Raw genomic sequence first — 9910 nt, forward strand, 5'->3', positions numbered from 1 at the left:
GCCATATTGTATTCACTAGAAAAGGTCACTAAATCTGACCCATACTCAAAGTCAAGAAGACCAGGAAGTGGGAATTATTGGGAGGTCATCTTAAAGACTGGCTATCACATAAAGGAAACTAATTTGAAGCGAAAATCAGTGCAAAAGATTAGGATTAGAAATAAACTGAATATCCAATCATATGAAATGGAAGTTTATCCATAGGCTAAGTCTGCAGCCATTGAAGCCATGTCTTTTAACATTTTTGAGTGATCAGGAGAAGGGCTCAGCATAAACTAAAAAAGAAAACTCTTGGAGGTGGAGATATGAGGGGAGAAGGGAGAATCCAGAAGAGAAAACATGAAAATATTTATTAATGGCAATTTGTATTTTCTTTGTAATTTTCTTGATGTTTCCAAATTATTACAATGATGATGCACTACTTGATTAACAAAAAAAAACTCTAATTAATTTTTTAAACAACTAAGGTGAAAAAGCCTGATCTTTCTTGAGTTCCACATAGAATGAAATACAGAGATAAATAGTAACTTAAAATTAACTTGAATGCAATTCTTCCACCAATGCTAGCTGAAGAAGCACATTTTTTCCATAGGAGGAAGAGAGACAGGATGAAGTCTTCTAGCCAATGGATGAACTTGAACTGTTTTTACATTTCCTATGATTGGATATTTAGTTTATTTCTAATCCTATCTACAGGATAAATACAGAGGTACAATTAATAGCCTCTGCTCTATGGTGGCTCACACTAAGGGAGGAGACCATCCCTCATATTGTCTTATGCCCAATTTCTGCCTCCAAAGAAAGAAGAAGTAAAAACTAAAGGCAGAAATGAAATCCACAGGCAGACAGCCCGGCGCCACACTCTGGGCCTGGTTAAAGATCGACCCCTGACCTAACCGGTTATGTTATCTATAGATTCCAGACATTGTATGGAAAAGCATTGTGAAAATCCCTGTCCTGTTCTGTTCCAGTCTGATTACCAGTGCCTGCAGCCCCCAGTCATGTACCCCCTGCTTGCTCAATCGATCATGACCCTCTCACGTGGACCCCCTTAGAGTTGTAAGCCCTTAAAAGGGACAGGAATCGCCCACTCGGGGAGCTCGATTGTTGGAGATGTGAGTCTTGCCGAAGCTACTGGCCGAATAAAGCCCTTCCTTCTTTAACTCGGTGTCTAGGGGTTTTGTCTGCAGCTTGTCCTGCTACAACACCTATAATCTCAACACTTTGGGAGGCCAAGGCAGGAGCATCACCTGAACCTAGGAGTTTGAAACCAGCCTGGGCAACATACAGAGGCCCTGTCTCTACAAAAAAATTTAAAATTAGCCAGGTATGGTCCTATATCCCTGTAGTTCTAGCTACTCAAGAGGCTGAAGGAGGAGGATTATTTGAGCCAGAGAGGTTGAGGCTGCAGTGAGCTATGAATTTGACATTGCACTCCAGCCTGGGTGACAGAGTGAGACCCTGTCTTTTAAAAAAAAAAAAGAAAAGAAAAAGAAAAAGTCTCCACTCTAGGACCAACAAATTGTATCTGCTCTCCCCTCTGAGTACCAAACACCCTAGTCCCTCTGAATGTTAAACTCCAGCACGATTCTAAGGTCTTGCATTCACAAAGCTCCTCTGTTCTCCATCTACATCTGTCCCACCCATGCTCTCTGATGAGCTAGCGAGATGGGTGATATGGACAGAAAGGTGTATCTTTCCTTGCACAGAGAAGAGCATCATTAAGTCTGAGATCCCATGATTTCCATCATCTAGCAATTAAAGGCATTTTAATCGCTCCTTTCATATGTTACTATACACCTCCAGGAGGCCATAAAAACTGATCGTCTTAAAACGGACAGTGAGTATGAGCAACAGTGGCTGATATCATGATAGCACCTTCAGAAGGGCTTCTGAAGCAATGACCTCGAATTGAGATCTCTTTCTGGAGACATCTTTGGAGGGAGTCAACTAGCAATTAATTAGTAATGACTAAACTGCCTACTATGTGCCTATCACTAAGGGGAGTTTTGAGAGAAAGGTAAGCAGTGGCAAATGTGTCCCAACCCACAAGGAGCTCACACTTGGCCAGAGGACATGAGTTGGCTGGATGTTAACAAGATGAACAGGCAGACAGACAGACAGTTGCAACAAGCATACATCATTCATCTAGAATGCGAGAAGCTGGGTGCAGTGGCTCTTGCCTGTAACCCCAGCACTTTGGGAGGCTGAGGCAGGTGGATCACTTGAGCTCAGGAGTTCAAGACCAGCCTGGCCAACATGGCAAAACCCCATCTCTACAAAATATGCAAAAATTAGCTGGGCATGGTGGTGCATGCCTGTGGTTCCAGCTACTTGAGAGGCTGAGGTGGGAGGATCACTTGAGCCCGGGGAGGTGAAGGCTGCAGTGAGCGGAGATTGCGCCACTGCACTCCAGCCTGGACAACAGAGAGAGAGCCTGTCTCAAAATAATAAAATAAATAAATAAAATACAATAAAATAGAATCCCCAAATTAAAACAACAATAAAATTTGCAATAATTCATTTTAAAGACAGTATCAAAGAAATTGCAACATTGTGGAGATTATGTCACAATTTGTTCTCTGTTAGTGTGTAAAATGATAAAACCTTTCTGGAAAGTGACTTGGCGATGAGCTTCAATAGTTTTACAACTATTCATTTTAGACTTCCATAGGAAAAAATAACAGCAGCAAGCACTGCCAAGTGTTCACAGTGACTGTTTACTGGTAGGAGAATTACAAATGGAATTTTGGTTTCAACTTTTTTGTATTTACCAAATTTAATCCACAGAAAATGATTTTCTTTTACAATCTGGGGAAAAAACTATAAATGTTTGGTTAGACAGAGAAATAGCTATGCTTATAGCCATCCACTTCTGGACCCATTCTAAGGAAATTATCTAGAGTATAAAGACAAACTTATGCACAAAAGTGTTAATCACTGGGTCATTTATATTATCAGAAAATGTAAACCTGGTATGTATCATTGCAATGGAGTATTATGCATTCATTCAAAAAGACAATGTCAGGAATTTTTTAATGACATGGAAACATCTATGGTATAATGCTAAGTCAAAAAATCAAGGTACAGAATTACACAGAATTAAGTGAAAAAAAAAGTGTCCGTGTAGAAAAAAAAAAGAAGGCAATACTGAAGAGTATTCATTGAAGTTATCTCCAGATAGTCCCTTTATATATTTTTTTGTTTTGTTTTTCTTTGTGTTTTTAGATTTTCTACAGTGACTATAAATTTGGGGAGAAAATCTTTAATTTTGCAATTTATAAGTTACAGTTTTATCTAACAGAGAGGAGACAATCTATTTGTGTACCAGATAAAATTAATTATGCTATGGCATTATCGTGCCACCAAGCATCAAATTGTGATTAGCACAAGAACGAGAGGCAGGCCAGGGATGCTTTGAAGGTTGCTCATAGTCTTTCTGGATTAACAGAGTGTAGCGCTGACATACTTAGCAAATAAAAATATAGAACCTTTGGCCGGGCATGGTGGCTCATGCCTGTGATTCCAGCACTTTGAGAGGCCAAGGTGGGCAGATCACTTGAGTCCTGGAGTTTGAGACCAGCCTGGGCAACATGGTGAAACTCCTTCTCTATAAAAAATAGAAGAATTAGCCAGGCATGGTGGTGTGGGCCTGTAGTTCTAGCTACTCGGGAAGCTTAAGAGGGAGGATCACCTAATATATATAATATATTATATATTATATAATTTTATATATTATATATTTTATATAATATATAATTTTATATATTATATATTTTATATAATATATAATTTATATATTATATATTTTATATTTATATCAAATATAATATATATTATAGATTATATATTTTATATTTATATTTATATAAAATATATTTATATTTTATATAATATATATTATATAAAATATAATTATATTATATATTATATATTATATAGTATATAAAATATAATGTATATATAATATATATATATTATATATTATATAGTATATAAAATATAATGTATATATAATATATATATATTATATATATATTATATATAAACACACACACACACACACACACAAATATATCCTCCAGTTCAATTGGAATTTGAATTTCAGAGAAACATTGAATAAGTTTTTAGCATAAATATGTCTCAGGCAATGGTTGGGATATGCTTAAAAAGAAGTTTGTGGTTTATTTAAAATTCAAGTTTGCTCAGGTGCAGTGGTGCACGTCTGCAGTCCCAGCTGCTAGGGAGACTGAGGCAGGAGGATCTCTTGAGCCCAGGAGTTCAAAGCCAGCCTGGGCAACATAGTGAGACCCTGTCATTAACAAAAAAAGGAAAAAAAATTAAATGTATGTATTCTGTACCTTGTTACTTGGTGACTCTAAGGATGCGGCCACATGCCAACCATTCTGGGTAAACAAGATCCCAGGTGGGCACTTGGAGTCTCTCCTTAAGACTGGTTTTTATTCCTTCCTGGTTTTTATGTAACAAAGGTGAATATAGGCTGAGTTTACTTAGTCCCATACGTAGCTTTACCTGGGAAAGTGGGGCACAGTGAAGGGGGCTGAGGTGGGAGCATGAGTGTGATAAATAGGACAGGCAGTGTGTTTGGGTGACTTTGACCACCTGAGGGTCTAGTCGACCTTTCAGTACATGTTTGGGCCCCTGCATCATGTCAGGGGGGATCCCACTGCTTTATTCTTCTAATACAGTCAGAAAAGAGAGAAGAGAGAGTACCAGGGGATGCACTTCTGACCACACACGCATGTGTGTGTGCACGTGTACACACACACACACACACACACAGAGCCCGTTTTCATTTCCACCATCTTGCCTATACCTTTGCTGTGCCTTCCACCCTGAATGTCCTGCCATCTCTTCAACCTAAGAGAATCCTTGCTCATCAAAGTGATATTGCTCTGAACTCCCAAGTCACATACATCCAAGCACATTAAATGTTGCTAGTAATATTAGATGCCATTTCTTGAGCATCATCTCTGCCAGGCACTCTACTAGATGCCTTATATATATTATGTCAAATCTTCAAAAGAACCCTGCCATTGAATCCCATTCTACAGGTGAGAGAATTGAACCACAGTGATGTAAATGGAATCATTGGGTTATGAGGATTAGTTGAGGTAGTATATTGAAAGCATCAAATAATGCTTAGCATATTGTAACTACTCAATAAATGGGGTAATCACTTTTTAAAGAGGCAGACATCTAGAGATGAAGATATAGAGCAAAACAGCAAATAATAATAATAGTAACAGCAACGGTTAAATTTACTGGGACAAGGTATAAAGCACTGTGATCAACATTTTACAGATGTTATTCTATGTAATTGTTCACCACTCTACAAATAAGTAGTGTTAGTCTTCCCATTTTACAGATAAGGAGACCAAGGCCCATAGCTAGTAGGGCTGGAGCTATCATTTGTTAGGACAGGAGTAAAAACAAGGATCAGGTCCTCAGACTTGGGCTTAGGAAGAAGGTTAGAAGGGAGGTGGAGGACACCATGGCAAATGTCATCCACATCACAACTTTACTTTGAATGTGTCCTGCACTCAGAACTGGGCACTATCTCCTCTAAGAAGCTGGAGATCAGGTCCCCTGTGGTCACTTGGTCTGAGGCCAGGGGTACTAAATGCTAAACAATACCTCCAGACTGACAAGAGAAGGAAGGAGGAGAGGGGATGTCCTAGCATGGCCATCCTGGGGCTCCTAGGCAAGGACATGCTGCCAGCTAGCCCAGCACCCATCTACAAAGTGAAATGGATTAGCGGCTCACTTTCAATCAGGCTGAGTTACGAGCTCAGCGATTTGTGGGACGTTTACATGAACCAGAAGATGTGTTATCTGATGAAAATTGCTTAATTTAATATCCTGGCTTGACAGGCAAAGAACTGTACCTCTCTGGGAGAATCTGCCAGGGTGGATGCTTTTTAAAAAGTCCCTGGACATGTTTAAGGAAAGCAACTGCTATCCTTTCCTTGTCCATCAAGAAACAGAACGCAGTATTTGCATCCAGGAGGCAGTCTGCCATCAGATTGTGCGCCCAGGGAGGCCTCAGACTATCTGCTTTCGTTGGATGACACCAAGACAGTCACACCAACCTATATCCTGGGATTTGAGTAGTCTGGTTTTAAGCTGTCAGAGAGCAAAGCACTCAGGCGCAGCTCTTTGGGGCTGGAAGCCTAGCTGTTGATGAATAATGATTCAGCACAGAGTTAACATGTTTTAGAGATATAAAAATAGAGACTACCACGAGCACACTATGTTTCCCTAAGCTTTTCATTCATTAGTTCAACACAAAGCTACTGAGGATTTAACACATATTTCTCAAACTTTAGCACACACTAGAATCACCAGAAGAACTTGTGAAATTGCAGAAGGCCGGGACCTCCAAGCAATCTGACAAGGTAGATTTGGGGTAGGGACCAAGAATATACATTTCCAACAAGCACCCCAGGGATGCTGCTGCTAGTGGTGGTGTGAGAACCACTGTGCCAGTTCTGGTGCCAGGCACGCAGCAAACAGCATCACCTTGGACCTCCTTGCCCTATACGTTCTTCTTTTTTTTTTTTTTTTGAGATGGAGTCTCACTCTGTCACCGAGGCTGGAGTGCAGTGGTGCAATGTCAGCTCACTGCAACCTCTGCCTCCTGGGTTCAAGAGGTTCTCCTGCCTCAGCCCCTCAAATAGCTGGGACTACAGGCATGGGCCACCATGCCCAGCTAATTTTTGTATTTTTAGTAGAGACAGGGTTTCACCATGTTGGCCAGGCTGGTCTTGAACTCCTGACCTCAGAAGTGCTGGGATTACAGGTGTGAGCTACCATGCCCAGCCCCTCCTTGCTGCATAAGTTCTACACAAGACTGGCTCAAAGCCACTATTCTGTGCCTTATGGACACTCAAAGCCCTATCCAAGGTGTCTGCAACATCAAGATTGTCATTTGTCACCTTGGATGTCAGTATTTATTAAGATCATTCTATTTGCAGATCACTGCGTTGTTTTTCATACTGTCCACCCATCTATGAATTGGGCCTTCTTATTTCAAACTGCAAAAACAAAACAAAACAAAACAAAACAAAACAAAACAAAAAAAACGCTAAAACTAAAGCAGTCTCATAAGATTCCTGGTTATGTCAGAGATTTTCACTTAAGACTAAAGGATAGCAACAGGAGTTTTATTGCAGAAATACTTCAAAATTTCAAATGAATAATAGACATCTCTGTTGTTAGAAACCTGACCACCCCAGCAGGCAGATCTATTCATGGGCCCCTCGCAGCGTGTGAAAACCTCATGGCCTTTCCCACCTCCTCATCTCTCTCTTTGCCCTCCTGTCACTTCTCACTTCTACCCCAACCCACCTCTATGGGCCACCTTGTAGAACTCCAAATTCTCCACACTCCATTTTACAGAACAATGCCATTCTCTCTGGCTCTGCTCCCAAATTCAGCTTCAAGGTCCATTTTTGCAAATGCAAGCCTGTGGCAGTGCTGAGCAAGTTAAAGGGCCTTGCCTGTAGCAGGAAGGCTGTTAGAGCTGCACCCAGCTCACCCCATTCCCCTCCTGCACGTGTATAGAGGTGAATAATGCAGGTCAATGCCAGGTTGGCTCTGTTAGCCTAAGAGGAGAGACAACACATGTCATACAATTACACTATTAGTGTGCATGTTCAAGTACTATAACCTAAATAAATATATTAAGGATTCTGGGAGAAAGGACAGAGGACAGGAGCAACAGGTCTAGCTACAGGAAACATGGAAAGGTCCCAGGGGAAGCAATGTTTAACCTGAGTTCTAAGGATAACTGAAATTCACCACTTATATGAAGGTGAAAGGATCACCCTGGAAGAAGGAACAGCATGAAGAGAAAGATGTATGCTCTAACAACTCTCTTTGAGGAAATCCTCACAATTTAGTTTTTCCTTCATATTTGCCGCTTTGTGTCATGGGTGATAAGAACCAGTTTTAGGTCTCTTATTGCAAGTAGTCCTGACAAGGGGGTCCAGACCCTTTCTTTAGAATTCTGAGCCCTCAACAGCCATTATTAGCCTCAGCTTTGAAGTTTGGCTCAAATTCCAGGATAGCAAAAGCCTTATTTACAATTCCATGACACTGGCAAGCAATGATGGAGCACCTGCTGTTTAAGAATGTGTGTAAGCTGAGCATGTGAGGAAGAGACTTGGGAGACCCCACAACTATACTGGAGGTGTCTGAAACATAATGAAAGGGAAAGGTGTCTGCGGTCTTTGTAGCCAGTGAGCACTGTATGAAGCTGTATGGTCTTAAACACAATTGCTACCTCATGTTGCCATCCATATCATGGAGAGAGGTTGCATTTGGAGACAAAAAGGAGGGCAATGATAAAAAATGCATATTTACCAGGATTCTTTCTGCCCAGAACAGAACTCCCACTCCCACAGTATTGTTTCATGTACTTGTCCAAGAGATCAGGCATTGATGAATTAAGGTGATCAAAACCAGCAAAAATTTTGACTTCAATTCTCTTTATCTCTAGCTTCTATTTTCCTCTGTTTTAGTTTCATTCTCAAGGGTGTTTATTTATTGGATTACTCCAAAAATGTTAACATTGATTTTTTTTAGCAATCTCAGCAGAGAAGAGGCTTTCCCAGTAATTCCATCGAAAGTCCCTGGTCTAACACTTTATGGCGAGGATTGGTCCAGCTTGAACTATGTAGTCACTCCAAAACCAACCTCATAGCCAGGGGAACGCTGGGTCTCATTAAACAAATCTAGGACACACACCTGCCCATCCCAGGGAGACTGGAGTCAAGTTCATCAGAAGCACCGAGACTGAAGGCAGGGGGCTGGAGAAGGCCACAGAGGAAAGGATGTCAGACAGGCAAAAACAACAGATATCCACCTGAGTGTGTAAAATGTAAATTTTTTTTTAAAAAGTGGGACACTTTGAAACCTGAATCATTAATTTCACAATGGATTATAATTGGGTCACTCCCATCAGAGTCCCTCTCTGCCAGGTACTTTGGAAGTAGTGGTTAGAAACATAGACACTGGTCGGGTGCAGTGGCTCACGCCTATAATCCCAGCACTTTGGGAGGCTGAGGCAGGTGGATCACAAGGCCAGGAGTTTGAGACTAGCCTGGCCAACACGGTGAAACCCTGTTTCTACTAAAAATACAAAAATTAGCCGGCTGTGGTGGTGCATGCCTATGATCACAGCTACTCAGGAGGCTAAGGCAGGAGAGTTGCTTGAACCCGGGAGGCGGAGGTTGCAGTGAGTTGAGATCGCACCACTGCACTCCAGCCTGGGCAACAGAGCAAGACTCCGTCTCAAAACAAAAAAAAAAAAAAAAAAAAGAAAAGGAAGAAGAAAAAAAGAAAAAGAGAGAGAGAGAAAGGGAGGAAGGAAGAAAGGAAGGAAGGAAGGGAAAAAGAAAAGAAAAAAGAAAAGAAAAGAAAGAAAGACACTGGCCTCAGAGTTCTGGACTCATCTCTCAGATCCCCCACTTAGTACCTGAGCAACCTTGGATAAATAGGGATAATAGTGGTGTTTATATCATGAAATTTTAATAAGGATTAAATTAGCGAACTTAAGAACTTAAAAGAGTACTTGTGCTGTTTTAAAGTCTCCTCATTGTTATTATTAGAATTTTATGTACAATTTTATGTATCTGTACATGTGCATTTTTTTCCTGATCAAAGGACTTACAGCTTTTACCAGATTTTCCAAGGGATTTGGGATGGAAAAAGAAAATCCCTTGTTTTTTCAAGACAGTGTTCTCCTGATTTAAACCCACCCTGATCACATGGATGAAGAATTGTTTGCATGCTGTCAGTGACAAGCAGACCTCATCTATCTTACAGTTTTTGTGGGCTGGTAAAATCTCAGGGTTTATTTGCAAGGCAGCATTATAGCACAGAT

The 9910-nt window shown here is 40.6% G+C and overlaps 1 annotated feature.

The window, feature by feature from the left end:
• Window positions 7710-8455: an enhancer, noted in NCBI's record as "OCT4-NANOG-H3K27ac-H3K4me1 hESC enhancer chr12:114723717-114724462 (GRCh37/hg19 assembly coordinates)". NCBI's record gives its function as "activates a minimal SCP1, AML or CMV promoter by ChIP-STARR-seq in primed H9 embryonic stem cells {active_cell/tissue: H9 hESC(primed)}" and the evidence as "EXISTENCE:reporter gene assay evidence [ECO:0000049][PMID:30033119]".

Source organism: Homo sapiens, chromosome 12 (genome assembly GCF_000001405.40).
Source record: "Homo sapiens chromosome 12, GRCh38.p14 Primary Assembly".
NCBI classification, from domain to species: Eukaryota; Metazoa; Chordata; class Mammalia; order Primates; family Hominidae; genus Homo; species Homo sapiens.